Source organism: Homo sapiens, chromosome 4 (genome assembly GCF_000001405.40).
Source record: "Homo sapiens chromosome 4, GRCh38.p14 Primary Assembly".
NCBI classification, from domain to species: domain Eukaryota; kingdom Metazoa; phylum Chordata; class Mammalia; order Primates; family Hominidae; genus Homo; species Homo sapiens.
Genome location: NC_000004.12, coordinates 61250478 through 61274538, shown reverse-complemented (window position 1 = coordinate 61274538; position 24061 = coordinate 61250478). Strand labels below are relative to the sequence as shown.

The 24061-nt window shown below is 34.6% G+C and overlaps 2 protein-coding genes across 58 annotated transcripts in view; both read right to left on the bottom strand.

Moving 5' to 3' along the window:
• Positions 1–24061, bottom strand: part of ADGRL3 (adhesion G protein-coupled receptor L3) — an 878010-nt gene that overhangs the window by 803797 nt on the left and 50152 nt on the right. For 17 of the 57 annotated variants that reach the window (XM_017007931.1, XM_017007940.1, XM_017007941.1 and 14 more), the window contains exon 1: positions 18838–18885. The exons of 39 other annotated variants lie outside the window; for them this stretch is intronic. The gene's annotated coding sequence lies outside the window, so the exon portion shown is untranslated. Of the gene's footprint in view, positions 1–18837; positions 20395–21111; positions 22668–24061 lie in introns of those variants that run through there. One more of the 57 variants, XM_017007929.2, reaches the window with a different exon arrangement.
• The window catches only part of LOC124900173 (uncharacterized), a 74900-nt gene continuing 51391 nt past the window's right edge, over positions 553–24061 (bottom strand). Inside the window, exon 3 of the mRNA XM_047416555.1 lies at positions 553–21188. The gene's annotated coding sequence lies outside the window, so the exon portion shown is untranslated. The remainder of the gene's footprint in view (positions 21189–24061) is intronic.

The following is a 24061-nucleotide window of genomic DNA, read 5'->3' as shown; positions in this document are numbered from 1 at the left end:
TATTCAACGCATTTACTGAGAAGCTCTGGGCTAGATACTGAGAGTATAAATTGCTGAACACAGCATAAATAATCCTGCTCTCATGGAAATTCAGTGTTACAAGGAATTTGATGTTTTCAACATGGGGCCAACATAGTTTAAAGCTCATAACATATTTCTTCTCTTCTTGTCTTCCATTAATGGGATACAATTTGAAAGTAACTCCTTAATTTCATACTGGAGATGGCAGTCTCTCCCATGGATTCTATGATAATGTTAGCATTTATCATTTTTATATTTGCTCATTAAACTGTTAGAGATTCTTCATGACGAAAGGTAGAAAAAGACTATTCATGCCAGGACTCTGTCACCAAATACTTTTCAGACTTCTATACTTTAGCTAACTTTTTCTTACCAAAGCTATTCAAAGTACAGCAGCTTCTTCCTCTGATATTGCTACATATGCACTTTAAGGTTTCTCAATCCTTTGCTCATTTATTATGTTGTATATGGATTCACCTTTTAATAGAAAGATAAAGGTCACCTTAGCATGCTTTATTATAAATGGGATTGCCAAAGACAATAGAGTCTTTATTGTAAGAGTCAGAATTTTCAGTTTTCAAGCTATTAATAGTTACTATGTCAAATTCTCTTAAAATGCCATTCTTCTATGCCTAGGAACAGATATCGTTGTGGGAAGAAATATCTTTAAAATAAATATTAAAATATATATTAGTCAATAACACAAAATGTAATTAAGACTTGCACCACCAATTCCACGGGGTGCGGGGAAGTAGTAGTTAACAGTGAAAGCATTTGTGATAAACTTCAAATGTTTTATTAAATGCAGCTGTGAATTGATAAATCTGAAAGTATCTGAAGCCACTCTTACATCCACATATTCGAGGGTAGGGAATGAAGTGTAAAAAAAATTTTACTGTAGCACTTGTAAAATGGCACATTTTCTAATGCTACTTCTTCTTTTTTCTTTTTCTTTTAACGTTGGCTAGGAAACAGATGGTAGCAATTCAATGCCACAAAATACGCCACAAGGCCTTTCCATGCAAGCATATTTTTCAGCAAGTACAGAATCTGTGCAACTCTGCAGAAATGGCTAAGTGCATGGGCACATTCATGGTGGAGGAGGGTAAATATGTCACTCACACTGAGTAGACCAAATTTCTTCATATCCAGGACCGGCCATCTAAGCAGTGACTTGCCTCTCCCAGCTGGGAAAAGACACTATATTGCGTAATTCCTTTCAAATACCGTACTTAGGGAAAACAGAGCTCCAGCGTGATGACAGTGGTCTTATTTAAACATTATTTTCCATGGCAAAACACAAAAATCCAACAACAGTAAACTAAAATCTGGTCCTGAGTACATCATGTCTCCTTACTCTGTGTTAAAAACGATAGCAACAACAAAAATAAAAAGAGCTAACAGCTCAGAAATTGTATTAAGCATTTACATAAAACTCATTCCAGTCTCACAACAATCCTACCTAGGTTTTATCATCATCCCCTATTTACAGATAAGAATACTGAGTAGTAGAGAGTGTAGGTAACTTACCCAAAGTCACACAGCTAGCATGACTGAGGCAAACCCAGCCACTCTGAGTCTAGGATCCACATTACAATGTCCTACACCTCTCCAGAATACCACACAATAGCTAAAAGCTGATTTGACTTATCTTCAACATACTACTTTAGTAGAGCATGTTTTATACAGGAATATCAAGTATTTTGATAGGCATTTGATTACACAAACCCTCAGTAAGTTTTACTTTAAATGAAGATCATTTCCTCAGAAATATCAAAATTAATTCAATAGTTTTGACAATTAAAGTCACTCAAAAGCTACTTTTCATTCTAAATTTGATGTATGTCAATAAAACAGCAGAATCAATGTTGGTTTTAATTAGCGTCACACTGAAGAGTCCTACTAGAGGCCATAGCAGTGTATTCCATGCTGTCTGAGGAAATGTTAGAATAGGGCATTTCTAATTAATGAAAATCATGACTACGTTATTATTTTAATTTAAAATGAATGCTCATAAAGTAAAATCTGTCCTATAGTCCTCATTACATAAAATGCAGGGCAGATATAGACATTAGATTTATATAAGAAGTGAAAGCAATATTATTCTTACCAATTAATTTTCTTTTATTTCTCTTGAAAAAAGTAAGATATTACTCTATTTCCCATTTTCTTTTCTTACTTTTAAAACCTAGGGCTGATGACTTCCATATACTGATTTTTTTGTCATGAAAATTTTGTCATTAAAATTAAAAAAACTGACACATAAAACTTTAAAAATTAGTATCATGAAACCATTTTTTGTAAACTCTGTAGAAGCACTACAGAGCACTGCTTTTGCATAAGAAATCATCTGCATGATAAAGTAAAATGTTTTAGTGTCTTATAAGAAACTACAACTTAGAGAAATCAGGGATTCTAAGTAATAATCACATATCCAAATTACATGGAACTGACTGTGAATTGATTCCACTACCCAAAGACCTCACAAAATCAAACACTTAAAAAACAATGTATTTTCATCTCTAGTGGTAAATTTAACATATACTGAAAAGATCTTTGTTAAAGAACTACATTTTCCTTCCTCTTGCTTTGCATTAAACATCACACAAATGAACAGCAAGCATCTAGAAGTAGATGGAACTATATATCACCCATTCATTCTATAAAGAGAATGAAGATTTATGAAAGGGAAACCCTTTTACTATTTAGCTCTAAGAGAAGCCTAGAGATGTTCATGACATCTAAATATCCACCTCTTCCAAAGTTAAGTGACGTCTTCCTCCATCCTGGTTCTGTGAAAGGTCATTTACACATTAATTCTGGGCTGGCCATGAATGCTGTTTCTGAGTAATCTGAAACAGTTCAAAAGCAGTGTATAGTCTGTCATAAACTAGTAAGTTCTAGGACACAGCTGCCTTCAGCAAAGAGTTCAGAAATGTGGGTAGACTTCTCTGTTTCCTTACCTGTCTCAGCCTTCAGTAATTTACTTTTTGTTGTTGTTGTTCAATGCTACAAAATCAATCTCATAAAGAACTACTTCACATTGATGTGTGTATAAAAGCACTATGTACCATAAGATAGATTTCACTTTGCAATTTTTTCCATTTAAGGTCTAAAGTACTAAGAAATCTTAACAAAACTCTTATTCTAAGCCACAAATAGCTCTAGGGGAGTTATAGTTCTTAATGCTATAATGCATAACCTCATGTGAGATGAGACATTTGAAAAACACGGTAACAGTCATTTCTGTCAAGTCTTGAAGAGCAAGGCCTTAGACATTCAATGCTATACAACTGTGAAGAGCAAAGATTTACAAGACATATAAATTTCACAATTTCATTTTTCCTCCCTGGCCCCGGAAGTCACTTGAGTCTATAGGCCTGACTTCAACTCTGAAGACCTAGATTTGAATTCTGCCACTTCATAGCTAGATTTCCCTGTTACTATTATTTTTTTAAGAACACTAATACCTTCCTTTACCATTTTCTAAGGGAAGGTGTCTCACATGCCTCTCATATAGGAGGCTCTCAATAACTGATACTGTTTACTCTTCTTTCCTGTAACCACAGGTTTCCTCAGCTTATTATGAGACAGAGTTTTCCAAAGTACAAAAGTGCCATATGAATATTACCCTTTTCTATTTGAACTTAGAAAACAACAGTATCAGGTCTTCCAAAATGAAGTCTCAACATGATTACAGACAATGCAAAAACTGATCAGTAAAGTCATAAAGAGAAAATCAGGTGCTTTGGGCATGGCAAGCAGTAGACTCCATATGTATTAGCTGTTATAAATGGCAGGTGTGAGGATATTTTCCATTTCTTGGTCATTCTTATGTTTAGTCTGCCTAATGGCCACAGTAGTATAAATATACTTCTGATAACAATAATTTCCTGCCTCGGCATTTTATACTTCTTTCCTCTAATGTATCGCTATGTTATACGCAAAGTCTAAACTACTATAATTGCCACTCTCCTAATATGATTAGGACCTTTTTTGACTAGACAGATATGCTTCAGGAAATGTCTAATTTCAAATAAGCAGGTTTTTTTCATATTAAGAGTGTTAACTGAAAAGTAAACAAATAGTATTATTCCAGTGTGGGAAATACTGGTGTTAGTAACAAGTAAAATTCTCTGAAATTCTCACCTTCTTTGGAATATTTAATTATTCAGGCAACAATATTCTGTGAGTTCTCGGACCTTTAAGGTTTACTTTTATGAAAACCTAGAAAACATGGTCCTGGCACTTACAGAGCCTACAATTTAAAGTTTAGGCTTAAAAGCTGTACCTCTTATTTCTGGGCCTCTGACATTTAACCTTTATGTATTCTGACCTTTAAACATGATTCCTTTTTGCATGTCCCACAGGTTTAAATCATTATGTATTGTATTATGATACCTCTAAGTAAATTGGGGTATGAAAACAAATCAGTATGTCTATTAATAAATACATTTAAACAAGTATTGTTTTTTATATATAGTAACAAATGTCTTTGCCATGCTATTTGGAAAGAGAACTAAATTAGAGGAGCTGGTTTCTGTAGCAACCATTTGACATGTAACTTTGAGCATGCCATTTAATTTCTCTTGGTCTCAAGTTTCTTTATCTGTAAAAGAAAGGGGCAAAACTAAATGATTTGTAAAAGATTCTGCCAGCTCTCAAATCTATAAACTGAATTACGTATTTTAATGAAATGAATTAAATGGCAAGTTAATAAATCATCTAGCAGATTAAATGTGATAGTCTGGTTAAGATTTTGTTGCGGGGAAGGCAGAGACCTGCACCTTCGTTTAATTTGTAAAATAATAGATCTAGCCAAAATTAGAGCTTGTTGAATGTGACAGCTTATTCTGCAAACGACTTTGTTACTTGAATAGAGCATTAGGCCATATTTAGAAAGCATTTGAAGTTGCAAAGCAAAATAGAGTTTTTTATGGCTTTATTTAATGTCATGTTTCCAAAAAAATCACAAATCAGTTCCATTAAATTTAAACACAGATACATTAAAAACTTGGCAAAGGTGGGCATGATAATGAAAGATGATTATTTCTCTACCTGTCTCGTACAATGAGGCTACACAACCATCATCAGATTTAATCTACTCAAACTTGAAACACATGCGATCAAGTGGATAATAGTTAAATTTCTCAAAATCAGACCTATTGTTCTCAAATTCCCTTTAAGAAATACCTTCTAAAAAGGGCACACACCAGAGAAAAGGAAGAAGGAGAAGGCAAAAAGCTATTAAAAAGCATATATGCTATTAAAAAGAGAGAAAAAGAATGTCTGAATTCTCATTCTACCTTGATGTTCTAATTAAAACTGGTCATACAGCAGACACTGCACCTGCCAGCCAAAAGTTTATAATGAACAGAGAGACTTACTGCAGAGTCTCTTATCAGTGCAGCTCCCTTGGGGCCAAAAATATTGATCTCTTTCATTGAATAAATACTAAAGTAACAACAAGAATCCATTATGTCTGACCTAACAAGAATTTTTAATTGAACAAGTTACTGTCTGAATGCCAAAGAAAGAGTGGATATAGTATCACTTACCATTCTCTTCTTAAAGCTCTAAGTATAAAGGGCAAATGATGAATGAGTTGACGCAATTACTTATTTTCCCAATAGTGCTCTCCAAATACATAAATGTCCCTAGTTTTAAAGAATTAATGTAGGTTTTTGCCATCTTAACAACTTGATCATATATTTTCCATAATCTAGTAGCAATGTTTCTCAAGAAATTATCTTGCTCAATCAATCAAATGATGCATTACAGGTTTAACATTTAATTTTATATAATGTATTTTTCCAAATATGTGTCATATTTTAACATGCCACACACCACTGGAATAAAATGAAAAAGAATGCCATTTCTTTCTCTTTGGAGTTGGTTATTAGCACTAAAAAGTATGCTAGCAACTAGATGTTAAATATTTCATAGATCATTTCCTCAGGAAATTAAGTTACATGAAAATTTTTCTCAAACCACAGTATTTACCTCAAATAAATGGCTGAGGCCCAAGAAATTCTTATACAACTTTATTAGACCCTGGGCTAAAACAAAACAAAATAATAAGATGTATATTTGGTTAGCTTAATCAGCAAATAAAAGATAACTATTCCTCTTGAGATAAATTTTGCATTTTGCATCTACATAGAAAGAAGAAATAAAATCAGAGGAAAAAAGCTGCTGCAGTTATTTCAAATTGCACTTTTAGGCCTGTGACTTTTGCACCAAAAATTGGACTTTTTCCTTTAAAAATAGGAAAAAATTTTGAAATAATTGAAGCAATTAGTTAGCTTACTGAGACAGAAATTTCCCCCCAAGTTACCAATACTTTATTTTGTTTTGGTCAGTTAGTAATTTAGATGCATATTAAAAGGAAAATAAATGTTATGAACTTGAATCCGTGTTTGAGAAAACCAGTCATACATTTACATGGAGTCATTTAAAAATGGCACGTTGGCCAATGTGATGATTATATATAAATTTTAAGGTCAGATATCTATTTTTCCTTCCCAAGATTTTGTGCTAAAAGCCTGCTCCTATACTTCCATAAAACTTACTTGATTAGGATGTTTTATTTTTTAAAGTATTTTCAACATCACTTTGTAGATATAATTATGCTACCTATTTTATAATTATAGTACTCTAATCAAAACTTTAAAATAAAAAAAAGTGAAGTCAACTAAAACTCTCCATACCCTAACTCCAATTTGAGACAGATATCTTCTCTGAAATAGATACAGTGATTAAGTTCATGTACAGCCTGCCTTTTTATTGAGAGGCTCACAGTTTTTGTATGCCAGTACATGAGAGAGAGGCGGGAAAAGAGAAAATAAGGCATCTTTGTTTATTTGTTACTGAATCATGATATCAGGAAAAGGGGCAGCCATCCCTATTAATCATACTTACAATATCAATTCACAGTAAATGTTCATTCTATTCTGTGCTGTAATGTTGAGAGTGGTTTTTAGGAAAGCTAAAATCAAAAGAAAGATGAGAAAGCTGACACTGTAGGTGCAAATGAATCCATCTGTGCTTCCTCAACTTTCTAGGGATGATATAGCATGGTAGTGGAAAATAGGAAGGTGCTTGCAAGTTAGCCAGTCTCTGAGCTCAATGATGGTACAGTAGGGTTACAGGTATTCTCTCTGTGTGACTCTTATTTAACACACATGAATCCTTCTTAGGGGAGGGAGCAGAGACTTTTATTCCTGCTAAGTTGCAGCTATGACCTTCCTTGAAAATAAGAAAATGCTGATTGATGCTTCATAAATATCACATTCTGGCAATTCATTACATTCGACATTTATTTTGTTTTTAGAAAAGGTTATTATGAATATAGTCCAATGGAATTGAAAGTTTAATTTTTCAGCTAGCACTATAACTGTTTTCATTATGCTACTTATTTATTTTGAATCTGCTTAAATCTTTTAAATATGTTTTAAGTATGACATTCAATACATCAAACCTACTATTAGGCTCAGTATTATAATACTTTGACAAAGTCTAATACTAAGACTAAATTTAAAATATTTGGAAAAATACTATTAAAAACTAAACAAAAATAAATTGATTAGTGATAGTCCAGCATATTTCCATTAATGAAATTATGATTTTGAACTCTCCACTACCTTATTGCAGCAACGTTCCTATGATTTTACTATTAAAGAATGATGGCACTGACATTAGTTCTGGCTTACTTCAATTACTGGACTACTCTAATTTGGAACAAAAAGATGTTTGTATTAAGCATAAAATATATTTGGAAGGCTTAGATTTACCTTACATATAAAACAATTTTCATTCTATAAGAATAAGCATTAAATTCGAAATGACAATTATGACACTCAGAATTATGTCATTAAATTTGTATCGCTATGTTTTTATATTAGTCTGTAAATCTCAAATGGAATCCACAAATTTCAATATGGGATCCACTGCAGAACATTTCCTATCTACAAATTCTGTCCACAAACATCCAGTAAGGATGTGGTAAATCAAAGCAATACATGATAAATCTCTTTTTTCAATAGAAGTGATGTTAAAATTGAATGGCATGTTCTTAGAGTCTAGAACTCCCACTATGTAAAAGTCCTCCCAAATATAAGTCAGCTGTTTGTTCTGCTTTATGAATATGTTTGAGCACAATTTAATCTAAAAGTATCTACAAATGCATTTAAAGATGTAAGAGAAGTAAGGCATAGAAAAAGCCTAGAAAACATCTCTGTCTAAAGTCAGAAAGATCATGAAATGGAGAACCAAGGCCAGTGTCAGAAAACCTTTAGAATACGGACCCTTAGGATATAATCGTTCAGGGTGGCTAGAGGAGGCATGAAGCAGAAAGCCCAGAGAACCTCTCTGAAAATGGAATCATTGTTAGAATAACTATAAAGTATAAAAAAATTTAATCAGTAGGTTACCTGAAATGGTGCAAATTACTGTTGAGTTTGTTATCAAGTTATCACATCCTGTATGAAAATTCTAGAAATATAAAAAGACTTAAATATGCGAAATTCAAAAGTTAGTATTCCAGAATTGCATGTTAAATTTACACCACTGTAGATCATTTTCCCCACATATCAATGTATATTGATGTATGTGGTTTTGCAAGGAACAGGGAAAAGACAAATTCCAAAATGCAAATTTCGAAGATTATATTTTAAGTTAGACTTGTACTGAAGGTCAAAAATCATAGATTGAAGCTAATTCTTCACATTATCTTACTGTGTGTGCCAGGACCTCCTATCTGCTGGAAATGACGAACCTCTACAGTATGTTATATTGCTTTAATTCAAAGGCCAGTTTGATTCAGCACTTTCAGTTATTCATCATTGCTCAAGGCTAGTAAATTTCAAAACTTGTCCATTTCAGCCAATTATCTCACTTTTTTCTCCTGAAACAAAACTCCTGATGTTATATTCTTTATCACATTACATAGCACTTTTAGCTCACAGAAATTGGAGGTTGCTTAGAATATAAGGTATTCCCAGCACATTTTTCTGCCACTGTTCAAAGCCACTTTAGTTAACTACTGTCCTCCGCTTAGTTGTCCCAGGGATATAGGAAGTAACTGTTGCTATCAAGGGGTGGATAAAAAACCTAGAAGAGACAGCCCAGAATCATCAGGCATATGGCAGCTCTCATGGAGCATGGGAAAAGTCAGTAAATCAAACCCACCTTAGAAATAATCTTGTGAATTGTGAATGTGATGAATAAAGATCATCAGCAAATGACAAAGCTTCACGTATTGAAACCCAGTATTAACAGGTTTTTTTTCCCAAGCTGTTCTTTGGTAGATTCTAATTTCCCAGAAATAAGAACTATTACTCAAGTTGATACAATTAACGAAAATCAGCCCAAAGATTCTGTATACAAAGATAACACCTACTACTGATCATCAAATAAGCATGTTTTGAAGTTTGTAATTTTGTCTTCTCACTTTTCTTTTTTTCTTCCCTACCTTTTCCAAGTAGGAAATCCTACGAATGCTCTCTTGCCTCTTACTTGGGTGACCAAAAATACAACTTTATAGACCAACTGTAACCACGAAACACACAAGATGCCTTTTACTGACATACATGGTTACTGAGACCTATGACCTTGGCCTTCTTAGCTTGTACTGGTACTTACTGAAAAGGTTTTGTTTATTTAAAGAAACACTTTTTCCCAAGCATAATGTATACTTTCAATACAATGCATCTCTTTTTCCCTCCCACTGTGTAGAGCACAAGAGATAAACAATGGAATTCCAGTACTAGCAGTATTTGCCATAGGTCAAGTATACTACTCTAAATGACAATTCTCTACTTTATTAGTAAAGGGCACGTTTGATAGAGTTTCCTACTGTCTTCCAAGCACAGTATTTACCATTATAAATTAACAATTTGACATAAAGAAAGCAAACCTTTGTGTAATATACACTGGTTTTACTTTTCTTGAATACATACATGGGTGATTTTTAAAAAGGAAGAAAGGGAAGGAGAGAGAATCTGAATTTTTCTGTGATTTAGAAAGAAGGAGCAGCCCTCATACACTTACTATATGTCAAAAACCTATTTTATAATGTCTTTCCAAGTTTATAATCACTTTGAGAAAAACCTAAATCTAGATAAAATGGTCCTTTGCTATGTTTGCCGATTTGGGGTTCCAATTGTGGAGAGGGTAGTTTAAGGAAAAGGTTAATTAACACAGCTGGACCTACATGAAACATTTTTGAAGCTAACACAATTTCAATTCAGTCCCCCTAGAAATCAGTTCACTGGAATTCTTGGCTTTCTCCCAAGCAGTTTCTTAAAAAGGTTACCAGCTTAATTGAACGAAATCAGAGTCTGCAACCGTCAACAATTATCTATAGAGCAATACTTGTTATTAGGCTGAATAAAATCAAAGTTAGAAACCAACCACAATTATTTATGGCGCAGTAATTCTCAATATTGGCCAGTCTGATTGCATTGAACTATTAAGAAAACTTCCTGAAAATCTACTTGTTTCCTCTTTCATGCAGACACCACACAGATAATCAAGGATACCAACAAGCCTATCTCAAAATAATTTCCCGTTATTACAAAGGAAATCAAAATTAACCTGGAACGAAATGAAAAAAAAAAACTACCCTAAATGGATAAATAAACATAGCCTATTTTATCTATAACCATGAAGCTCTGGACATTACGTTTTCTGTTAACCAATGAATCACTTCTACTTTATGGTATGGGTGTTGCTTACTGTTTCAATACTTATATCTCCCTGGTCCTGGAAACTCTTTTTGATTCATTTGAGAAGCAAGTGCCCACAATTTTGATGGACAGAACTTGAAATGACTGAGCAACAGAGTCATAATCATACTGCATTGAATGTCTCATTAAACGACTAGCAGCACATCACATATCATTTAAGGCTTTTTCTGGTACCTCATGGAAAACAGAGACATTCTATTGAAATGAGTAGGATTTAGAAGTGTTTATACTTTTTGTAAAATGAAACGCTAGAATTATACATTAAAAAGTCAAAGAGATGAGACTTTTTCAGGGTCTTTTTTTTTTTTTCAAATGCACTCTATGCAAGACAACTGCTTTACAATTTACATTCAATTACAGCTCATACTGAAAGGGTTAAACCCCAGTTACCAGGTTTCTCCCCATTAGGAATAGCCTAATATTTTTTGAATGCCAAAGTGAATTTAAATATTATTTTTCTGGGAAAATTAGGTTTTTTTTAACCACAAAACTCAATTTCTATTAAAATATTTTACATATTATAAATTTCAGTTTAATTATTTGCACTTGATAATGTTAATAAAATGATATATATTCAGGAAATAATACAGCAAAACGTAAATTTGAATATGAATTGTTTCTGCAATTATTTTACATTTGCATAACCTTTTAATTTAGCTATTCGTTATCTACTTAATAAATAAATATATCAAGATTGCATTCAACAATTTTCAGAAATCACAAATATGAAATTTTCATGTTTGTCTTAGAATCTAACCTCTTATAAATATGCACAGATCCTAATTTTCTGGGGGCTATTTTGCAAATCTTCCCCAGTACTACCACTTGAGAGATAAGAAACTGGTGGCTGGTCCAGAAACATTTTTAAAGATATATCCTTCTCTGGTTGAGTTACAGCAGTTTTTAAAGAGTGGCTGTAGTGCATCAAATAACAAAAATAAGAATTGGTTCCACATAATTCAAATTATTTGATAAAAAGGATAAGGAGTCTGTGATTCCGTGGTAAGTTGGTAGAATTGTATAAAGTAGAACAAAATTAGAGAGAGAGAGCATAAGTCCTCAGCTCCTGTTTTCTTTTTCTTTTTTCTGTTAAGATAAACGCTCTTAACAATGACTATGATAGAATAAATACGATTAAGATAAAAGGAGGGCCCAAAAGAGAGAAAATGATAATAAGAGACCAGAGAAGTTCCGGTTACTGGCCCAGGTAAGAAGCAGCCCGGGTGAGTAAAAGATACGAGAATGACGAATGCTAATACAGTGTCTGGAGAATCTGAAAGCAAATGTTGCCCAATTTTTTTAAAAAAGAGTGAAATCTAGAAACAACACAATGGCGACCTTAATTTTTTTCTGGTAAAACCATAACTGATATAACACAGAATTAGCACTTAGAGAGAAAAGGGGTGACTTTTAGTGAAATCATGCCAAACTGATTTTATTTTCTAATTTTGAAAGGGTTACTATGATCAGACACTCAGCATACTGAATTTCACAAAGACCTTTACTACAAAATAACACATATGATACATAATAAAAAGAATGTATTATAATTACATTGTCATAGATGGCTGAATGATCATACCACATGCCAGGACACTGCTGTGGCACTGCCAAAATGTAAAAATCATTATTATAACGTGAGCATAGCAAAGATGACGCTCAGAGATAAGTCTTGATTCCATGATGAGCACCTTCAACATGGAATTGTGCTCAAAAATAAACCTTTGAAACATAGTTTACTAAGCCCTTCCTTGGTCTCTCTTAATATTTCAATCTCGTCGTTCCCAAACATCTCTAACTCCCCTTGAAGTCTAAGCTCTAACCCTACTGAACTCAGTTGACTAAAGAACAATCCTGTCTTAGTTTTGGAACTTCACACACATTGTTTCTTTCTGCCTCAAATATTTTTATCCTCACTCTTTTCATGGCAAATCCTAGCATTTTTCAGAGGTCAATTTAGATGTTACTGCTTTTGAAAGGAGATGCTCTCCTTGACCTCCCTGGCTGGTTTAGATGTCCTTGCAAAGACGACATTGTAACACTATATTATGTTTTGTAGCATACTTTATTGTTATTCTTTCTTTAATCATTTGTCTCTTTTATTCAGCACTATGCCTATAAACCAGCTCTTGAAAAAATAAAAATTCCTTATTTATAGTGTTGGCCAAATTCCATGGGAAAAATATCCTACCACCACCACACACACACCCTGGCAGATGTCAAAATACAATTGCTCTCTGTATCCGTGGGTTCAGCATTAATGGATTCAACCAACAGTGCATCAAAAATATTCAGAAAAAATTCCAAAAAGTCCCAGATACCAAACTTGAATTTCATGTGTGCCAAGTGCTACATCGAACCCACTCAAATGAAAAAAATGTGTAGGCCTTGTATTAGGTAGCATAAGTCATCTAGAAATGATTTAAAGTATACAGGAGGGCAAGGTGCAATGGTTCATGCCTGTACTCCCAGAACTTTGGGTGGCTGAAGCAGGAGGATCTCTTGAGCCTAGGAGTTTGAAACCAGCCTGGGGAACATAACAAGACCTTGTCTCCTTTAAAAAAAAAAAAAAAAAAAAAAGAAGAAGATGAAAAAGAACAAAAAATAGCTGGGAGTGGTATTGGATGCTTGTAGTCCCAGCTACTCAAGAGGCTGAAGTGGGAGGATCAAGCTTCAGCCCTGGAGATTGAGGTTACACCTTGGTAAACGGATATTTTTCTCTTAATACAAATAACAAATGAGAATGGCGAGTGTGTTGGCTCATGCCTGTAATCCCAGTATTTTGGGATGCCAAGAGGGGAGGATCTCTTTAGCTGAAGAGTTCGAGCCCAGCCTGGGCAATATAGTGGGAGCTTGTCTCTACAAAAAATACAAAAATTAGTTAGGCATGGTGGTACACGCCCATAGTCCCAACTACTTGGGAGGCTGAGGTGGGAGGATCACTTGAGCCTGGGAGGCAGAGATTGCAGCGGGCTGAGATCACATCATTGCACTCCAGCCTGGGTGACAGAGTGAGTCCCTGTCTCAAAAAAATAAAAAAAATTTTTTAAAGGCCACTAAGATTTTATTGCATAAGATTACAATGCTCCTAAACCAGTCTCTTAATTCAAGTGACGGTCAAATTTCTATGTATTGATGCATATTCTATGCCATGCATTCTGCTAGGCACTTTTCATTTATTATCTTACTTAACTCTTAGAACCACCCTAAAAGAGAAAATGAGACTCAGTGACATTAAGTAACTTTTCCAACATTAGAAAGGCAGTAAATGTCAAAAATAACATACAATACCGCATTGTCTAACACCAAAGCCTTTGTTCTTACCATTACACTCTATTTCTGGCATAAACTGCACTACACTATACAGACTCTATCCATTTCATTATTCATTAACACGGGAATCCGGCGATGCTCAGAGAAAAGAACAGACAGAGATGTACATTCTTGGTTTTTCATGTCAACAGCACTTGGTTAAATACTTTAGTAAAAGGTAATAATAAAATGAATACAGTTCATTTTTGCCTTTATCTGTTCTATCTCTCATCCATATAATATAAAACAACCATCGTTAGGTTTCAAATACCCTTCAAATGTTTCATATATTTACAGGTTTATTATTCAATGAAACCATCTTCAAATATCTGAATCATTCTGATCTCTCCCAACTCTGACCTTGAATGGTATTAATATATAGCATGTTTATCATATATTTTGACATTTAATCTTACACGTCTCATAAGCAGCAATGAAATTTGAATTTCCTCGATTGCAAGAACCATTTTAATGTTTTGGGGGGAATCCCTGAAGCCTCTAGTAGTGTTAGATTCAAGTACTTATTCAAATGCTTCCTAAATTGAATCATAAAGTAATGATTTTTGAAATTGTGGAAAAGAGAAAATCTAATATGTCACAGGCCTGTATCTTGGTAACCTATTTGAGTCTGCACTGATTTGCCTCATGTTATATTAGAATGTCAAAGATTTCCAATGAAAGTGAATATTTGAGAATATAAATATGTTCAAAGGAGAAAAAAAAGGTAACAGAAAAAAAGATGTAAAAAATAAACACTCCTGCTTTCCTCCTTTCTCACACCTCATTGGTGAGGAGGACATTTCCTAGTGATTTCAGCGGCGAGCATATGGACGTGCTGTTCAGGAAGGCTTCATGCAATATAAACACTACGAGGATAAAAGTGAAAACCCTAGGCTGTGGGAACAATTGCTTTGTTGAGTTTGCTTAGAATTAGGAAGAAGCCTGACCAATACTGAGCAGTAATGATCTTCTATTAAATTGTCATGCCTTATTTATTTATTTATTTATTTATTTATTTATTTATTTATTTATTTTGAGACAGAGTCTCACTCTGTCGCCCAGGCTGGAGTGCAGTGGCGCAATCTCGGCTCACTGCAAACTCCGCCTCCCGGGTTCACGCCATTCTCCTGCCTCAGCCTCCTGAGTAGCTGGGACTACAGGTGCCCGCCACCACGCCCGGCTAATTTTTTATATTTTTAGTAGAGACGGGGTTTCACTGTGTTAGCCAGGATGGTCTCGATCTCCTGACCTCGTGATCCGCCGCCTCGGCCTCCCAAAGTGCTGGGATTACAGGCGTTAGCCACCGCACCCGGCCCATTTTTATTTCTTAAATGTTAGATATGGTGACAATGGGAAGATGCTAGTGAATGATTTTATTGGCATATATCATGAATTCGTTTTGAGGTAAGTTCAATTGATGAGGAAGTGTGCCTGGAGTGATAGAGCTAATGAGGCAAATTTGGGAATGCTTTAAAATTTTGGAAAGATAGAGGAAAGTCCAAATTAGTATCTTCTTATTTTGATATGCGATTTAAGGAAGCAAAGTAAATAAGGGTTATTTTTATTGCATTAGCAATGTTCAATATTATCTACTTATACTTCCTAGAAGTAGGTTATTTTGTTTATTTTTGTGATATATATGAGTGAAGTGATTACCGTTGAGGTAGCTAACTTATCTATTGTTTATAGACTCCCTGATGTTATAGTTCTAGGGGCTACAAAGAAGAAGAAAGAATAGTACACTGGGTGTACGCTCCCACTGGTTAGACAACACCTTAGAAGTGTCAATAATAATTCACTGATTTCATTGTATATAATGTATACACTGACTATATAAACATTGATTTCAGTATCACTGACTGAGAACTTCGTATGTGCCTAAAACAGACCTACGCACCTAGGCATTATGTCATTTAGTTCTCACAACAATCCGGAGGCAGATGCTATTTGCAGTGCCCTTCTACAAAGGAAAGAATCAGGAAGGCAACATTTCCAAGGTCACTCATCCCAGAGGAGCAGAACAAAAACCAGAATCCAGGACTCCTGGCCCTAAGGCTTCATGAACCACATTGCAATGATACAACATAAACCACATGCTTATGAATTCCAGGGGATCCTGGTGGGTACTAAATATAGCAAGAGCTGTATGTAGAGAGGATTCTAATACAGAAGGAAAGTAACCATCAGCACCAAAACCATGGTGACTTGTGGGGCAAAGTGTCTCCTCATTTGGGGATTCTTTGCTGTTGTAAGAAAGAGGCCTGTATTACTGGAACCCCCACTACAGTTTATCAAGGGACCTGGTCCACAAGTCCATTCAGAGCTAGCAAGCAAGATCTCTTGTGATAATCAGTATTTAGTCTGGGGGGGATAGGTCCTTGCACTAAGGTTTAAAAAATATTAGTCCTGGAGGAAGATGGGGGCTGGTAGTAGCTAAAGGAAGACAGACCTTGGGGATTCCTAACCTGTATGTACTCAGACACCACTTCTGACTCTCAGAGAAAAATCAGGCAGCTGGGGCCACACACACATTTTCCCCAAAACTGCTGTGCCTCCTTCCTAAAGCATGGGGTGTGCGCGTGCGCACACGCACAGACACACACACACACACACACACACACCTCTAATTCAATTAAGCGAAATAAATTGAAAAATGGTATGAAGTGAAATAATCTTTAATAAGTTTGTATAAACTGACTACAGATGATCACTGATACCATATTAACATTAATTATCATATCTTATTTGATTTTTACTTTCAACTGTTACTCATCATATCTACCAAAACACATCCATATTGGGTTTTGGGGGGAGTTGAATTTTAATATTTATCTTTGTCTTTAAAAACTGCACTAATAAAATACATTTAATGTCTTCCTGAGCTACCTATTTAGTATGTCTAATACTATGTTCAAAGAACCCTAATCTTCTTAAATACACATCTTGTCTATGGACTTAAACAAATAGGTTCACTGGCCCACACAACATATACTTGCTACCAAAGGATTATTGTGGTTTTAAGAATAATAATCAACAGAACTAATTAGAAACCATAAATAAATATTATGTTAAAGCTATTGTTTTGAATAATTGTCTTCTTTCTTCTCTCCACAACTTGGAAGCAAATGGAATTTTTTATTTCTTTCAACAGAGTTAAAAATTGAAACAAGATCAGTTTCTTGACATTGTGATCTATCACAGACTACAGTGATATTATTCATAGGAGGGCAAATGTGTCAGTGATAGACTTGGGAATATGGATTTAATAGAAATACCACATTTTGATCCTGAAGAATTCAAAATATTGGAAGGTGAAATAAAATCATGGAAAATATTTTACAATGAAACTGCCTCTAAGAACTATGGGCAAGATTTATCATTGGCTTTGTGGAATGTACATTAAGATTTTTCAGCATACTTTTGTGTTCAGCTGGGAAATACTGTGTTATAATTTTCATGTTTCAATTCATGCTAAAATTTGATTTTATGTGTGTGTGTTAAGTATGTGCATAAAAGACCTCAAGTATAAGAAATAAGAAAGAGAATCAAAAAAACTGTTGGCATTTTTGTAGGAAATATTGAATTTAGTTTTTCAAAGGCACAGATTCTTTTTCCACTAATAAAAGTAGGATATGAGACTACAGTTAGTCAAATGCACTGCAAATTTAACCACATTTTTAAAATGTGATTTTAACCTGGATGTCTGCAATCATCCTTAGAGTTTATAAACTCAGTTTATTTCCAGATTATACTTGATAGAAGGTAAAAATTAACATAAAGCGAATCATTCGTAAGGCAAAAGTGAAAATGCGCTTTCTGTGTTTGATTTGGTATTCATTCACTCACAATACTTCTTCACACAAAATAAACAAACAAACAACAGATGCTAATCTCCGAAAATTTATCTTGAAGGATTTAAATGATGTTCTTGAAAATGTCAAGTCCTTTTACTGGCTCATACTGAGAAAAAAAAAGGATAATTATTGTATTATTGTTACCAGTTCAGAAAAAAACTCACCGTTTTCATCAATTCTAGCCAGCTTTGCAGAAAGATAACTTCTGATGAGTTTTAAAATTCCTAATTATCCAACAAATGCTGCTACAGTTTAAATCAATACTTAAATACACACATAACAAGGAAAGAAGAGGCATACATTTTGAGATTAATGGTGTAAAAAGTAAAGGATAAAGAAAAAAATGATTAAAAACAGCTAAACAACCAATTGTTATGTTGTCTCAGAATTTTCTGTAAAGAGAATGGCCACCTGATTGAAAAGAACAGAAGAAAAACTTATCAGAAGGAAAAGTAAAGTTAATGCTTAAAAAATGTGTTTTGAGAAATGAAAACTTTTTTATTCACTGAAAAAGTGTTTCAGTCCCCTGGACCCTTTGACTAAAGACCATATTTTTTGAAAGGACGTGCAAAGTAGATCCAACAACTGCAGCAATCTTTGAAGGAACTTAAAAGATTGGGGAGGGGCCAGAAGACTGCAGGCTGACGCAGACACATGCATATTCACTTTGCAAAAGAGGAGAACAGTAAATTCTTCAAAATATCAACAGAGGAGCTTTACACTATTCTTACAAAATCTTCCATAACAACTTACTAGGGATTGATTTGTATGGTGCTAGGAAACAATTTATTGGACCCTGCCTACACTAACCGTGAGCTATTTCAAATGAAATAATGAGAGGCAGACAGGATAGTGGTTAAGAATGAGATTTCTGTGTTAAACTTCCAAGACTAATTTCCTACCTGTGCGATGTGGCCAAGTAATTTCCACTCCTGTATCTTGGCTTCCCCTCTGTAAAATAATAATAATGGAATTTCGTAACATTGATGTGAAATATAAATGCATTTAATAGATTTTCATGACAACATAAGAATAATTACATGTCTCCTTCTGAGTAAATAATCAAAAATAGTATATCTAACTATAAATTCTATTCTTTCAGAACATATCAGACATGTATAGCTTCGCAATGTGGAAGATAACGTCCAACTGGTTTTAACAAGGCAATTGCCAAGTTCACTCATGACAGTCTTCTCCATACAGCGGAGAAGAAAAAAAAATTTTACAGAAACAAAATCAAGCCAATGTTTACTAAGAAGAATCTCAAAACTATTTCATAAGAAGACCAAATGAATCATTTCGAAAACTCTAGCGCATCAGTCTGAATATACTATAACTTCTGGCCATAAGATTTGCTTCAGACAGCAGCTCTTGAGAACTTTCTGCCTTAAAATTTTCACTGAAGTGAGCAAGTCTGTGTTCAAGAACAACGGGATATCAACCAACCCTGACTGTCAGCAACAAATGAATTTAGCAGTCAGGAGATGTCATTCTAATGTCAGCCATAGCAACATCTTTTAATCTAATGTATGTTCATGATATTTATGCTGCAATTTGAGTTAGTTTGTGTACATTATCCATCCTATTCTTTCAGTGATGAAAAAAGTACAAGAGTGTCATATTATGAAATTACTTGAAAAAAAATTAAAAGACATAAGAATGAAGGAAGCCATTGGTGCTGTGGTGTGCACTGGGTCAACAGCAGGGATGATACTGAAAGACAAAAAATAAACTGGAAAAAATGTAAAAGGTTCTGAGGTGATCCACAAGGAAGAAAAATGACTGATAAAACTAAGTTTCGAGTGTGCAGATAACCAGAGAATCAGCATCCATCCTGGATGCCTGTCAACCTGATGTTAATTTAGGAGATAAAAATTTGTTCGGGAACTTAATAAGCATGGTAACAACTACTGAGGATCTTTTGTCAAAATCCACAGATAATTATAGTTTCCAGGCATGTTCACACTTGTACAACCGTGCAGTGAGGGAGTAAGTGGAAATCCCCAAGAGGAGGGATCTATAAGGGTAAGTGATTCACAACAGAATATCTAGCAGCATGATGTTGAAGAGTATGCCTGGTTTTCAGGTAGAAGTTAAAGAATGAAGAGACCTGGTCATGCACAGTCATGTCATTCTTATTTATTTATCTCTTTAGCATTCAAGATTTTAAAATAATTTCAAATAGCACTAAGAAGGTAGAAACTTTCATAAGAAAAATCTGGACTAATAGTTTCTTAAAAAATAATGTGAGGTTCTGGCAACATTTACACACTATATCCCTAACTCATTAATGACACCTACCTGACCCATGAGGCTTCTGAGTTTACAATCCCCATTTTAAAACTTCTAAAAAAATGACTCACAATTCTAGAAGATGGAAGTGAATTGGGGACTGTACGGTGAATGCTTTTTCACCTTGACTTAACCCAAAGATGCTGAATGTAAATGAACTCCTCTAACTGAAAAAGAAATAATGCATAATGAGTTTGAGCAGTGGTTAATATGAAAAAAGCCCAAATTAGCAAGCTTTCTTTTTCTCAACTACTGATTATTGATAATGCGACTTGACTGCTTGTACAGTATTTTGATAAAGATGTATACACTCAGAATTAAGCAAAGGCCAAAAATCATATAGGTGGAGGCTTAATTTGGGAAAAAATAATCGTGGTTCACAGAATCATAGGGATTTAGAGCTGCAAGAGCATTTAGAGATCATCTGGTGCAACTCTCACAGAGATAACAATTTACTAACTTATATGCAAAATTTCAAAGCCTTTGAAGCTCACTTTCATTATAAAGTACAAAGTAATTCTAGAAATAAATTTGTAATACAAATGGTATTGATTGGAAAGGCTATAAATATACTTAATCCTATATATATATGTATATATGTGTGTGTGTGTGTGTGTGTGGAACTGAACATACAAACAAAGTTGTGCACATATTACAAAATAGGTCCATGTCAGCTCTCTAGGCTCTCACCCCTGTGACACAGTCACTATGCTTTAATGAATACCCAAGGGGATCCTGCAACACAGTATATTCCCTGGCCTGTTTGGAAATCAGACAACAATTCCTCTTGGTGTAAGTCTTTGGTACAAAGACTTTCCTCTCTTTTTTCCCAACAAATGAGAACCCATGTTTGTCAATGGAGTAAGAGAATACTGGTTACCTACCTCCAATAAGCACACTGAGTCAACAACCTAAAGGTTTGAGACAGTCAAGGGGTCTGGTAATGAATGTCCTACTCATTCTGCAATACAAAAGTAAATTACCAAATAATAAATGCTGAATCTTTGGAATTTGGAATAGTCAGCTTTATATTTTTTAAAAAAGAAAATCTTGTGCATGAGTCAGAATCATTAACATAACTTTGCTGTGTTTGCAAATTTCTGGCAGGTTAATTCTTGATAGCTGGGGAAGAGCAAAGCTTCCAACCAATTTTCTAAATCATCTTTAGGCAAACATCCAGGCGCAATCACCTGTAGATGGCTGCCTGAAGGCCCAGGTATGTTTTCAGAAAGCAGCCAGATTCCTGAATGATTTACAAAGTTAACCATTAGAGCTACTCATATAACTGGCTTAGACTGAAAATAAGTAAAAAAATACATGCATGACACACCTTAACCTCAGTGTCCTCACCTCACTCAGAGGAGAAAAAAGCATCCAGAAAAGGCAAGTTTACCTGGCTTTTCAAATCATTTTCAGACATGAGCCTATGTAAGGTATTCCTACTCTGAGGTCACTAAAAATAAAAATTAAATAGCAGACATGATGAGCAGAAGACAGTATGGTCATTTAGATGTAAATATATTTCCTTTTTGATTTTAAAGTTTAGAATAGTATCATTAACTACTGAGTGCCAAAATGTCACATTTTGAATCAAGCTACCGGGACTTAAAAAAAAAAAAAAGTTCATCTAATTTGAGACAAACGAAATCAGAAACGATCTAAAATACAGTGATCTGACAAAGCGAGCTATTAGCTGAATTTGATATTATTGTGCTTTCACTTCCAAACAAATAACAGGAATCAATTTATAAAGTTAATGAGACATTTACAACTGAAACACAATTACAACTACAGCCCCTAGAACAAAGTTTTAAAAATATTCATTCACTGTCATTCAAAAATTTGAATCACTTATTTGTCTGTAATGAATTCTAACTTTAAAACATTTATCAAACTCACTTTTTTTCAAATCTTTTGACAAAATAGTGTAATGATGATGTTAATGATACAATATTAGTAAATAACATACTGAGTTAAGAAAAATTTACCTCCTGTTGTTCCTTATAGCTTTTAAAAGGGGTTTACAGACATGTTTTTATTTAATTTAATGTACACACAATGAACTTATATGCATGATACTGATCTAGACATTTTTAAAATAGGCAATTTGTCCTCATAAGAATCATAGGGGCTGGGCGCGGTGGCTCATGCCTGTAATCCCAACACTTTGGGAGGCTGAGGTGGGTGGATCACCTGAGGTCAGGAGTTCAAGACCAGCCTGGCCAACATGGCAAAACCTTTCTCTACTAAAAATACAAAAATTATCTGGGCATGGTGGCAGGTGCCTGTAATCCCAGCCACTCGGGAGGCTGAGGCAGAAGAATAGCCTGAACCTGGGAGGCGGAGGTTGCAGTGAGCTGAGATCAGGCCATTGCACTCCAGCCTGGGCAACAAAAGTGAAACTCCATCTCTAAAAAAAAAAATAAAAAAATTAAAAAAAAAAAGAATCTTAGGATAAGAAACTTCTGCAAGAAAAATAAAGTATCACTGCTTGAGGATCACAATGACTTTTAAACTGAAAAAAAAAAAAAAATCCTAGAGTTGAGAGTGTGAAGATCCAAGATTAAGAAGATGAAAATCTAGGATTAAATTTACAGTAGTTTTAGGCCTCTGATGGAAACCTGAAACTGCTTGCCCATAGTAGTTGACACATTATAGTTAAATTACTTTCTTGAGAATAATTTATAGAAAAACTGTTTTCAAAGTTAATCATGTTTACTCCTTGTCATCTCATTGGCGATAACCACAAGTTGCTCGACACTGTACCAAGAAGACTTAAACGTCGGTGTCCTTTCACCTTGAATCTGGGAGGGCCTGTGAATTCTTCAACTAATAGAATGTGGCAAAAGTGATGCCATGGGACATCTGACATCTGAAGTGAGGTCATCAAATGCCATGCAGCTTCCTCGTGGTTACCTGATACACCTGCTCTCCGAGCGTTCCCTTTCCAAACACAGCTGTCATACTGGGAGAAGTCCAGGTCACATGGGGAGGCCATGTGTAGGTTCTCTAGTCAATAGTCTAGCTAGGCACAGCCTTTGGTCAGCACAGCCCAGAAACCAGGCGTGTGAGTGAAAGAGCCTCCAGATGATTCCAGGCCCCAGACGTCTGAGGCCCACTCTGCCTTTGGAATCTTCCCCACTGAAGCCCCAGGCATGATGGAGCAGAGACAAGCACTCACCTTCACTGCCCTGTCCAAATTCTGCCACATAATTTGTGAGCATAATAAAACAGTAGTTGTTTTATGCCATTAGATTTGGGAAGTTTTTTATACAGCAACATATAAATGGACTATCACTCTAGTTAAATTATCTAGTTTTCTAAGTTAATTTCCATAATAGAAACGGTAGTAATAAAATAATTTTAATGATCTCTTGCTCCAGATATACTGTTAAGGCTTCATATTTATGATTTTATTATAACACTCCCATTTAACCTATAAAAAGAGTATTATAAATATTCCCATTTTACAGATGAGGAAACTAAGTCTTTAGGCATTTAAGTGACCTTACCAACAGCACAGAAGTAACAAATATCAGAACCAGTATTTACCTGGAGTTATTTGTAACTTCTCAGCTGTCAGTAACACACAGCTCATTTGAGATAAAAAATATGCAGTTCTTACATAAGCATGCACGTCAAAAATGTACTAATGTATAAGTATCACTAAACGATTTCACTTTCAGGAAAATTTACTTGAAGTGGTTCACATCTGAATAACTGGCAATTCTTAGAATTCAAGAGAGAAAAACAAAGAAGTCAGTATCTTAGGCAACAAAAATCAATGGTATAGATTATAGGAGCTCCTTCAAGGCCATCAGATCAGGCCCTTAC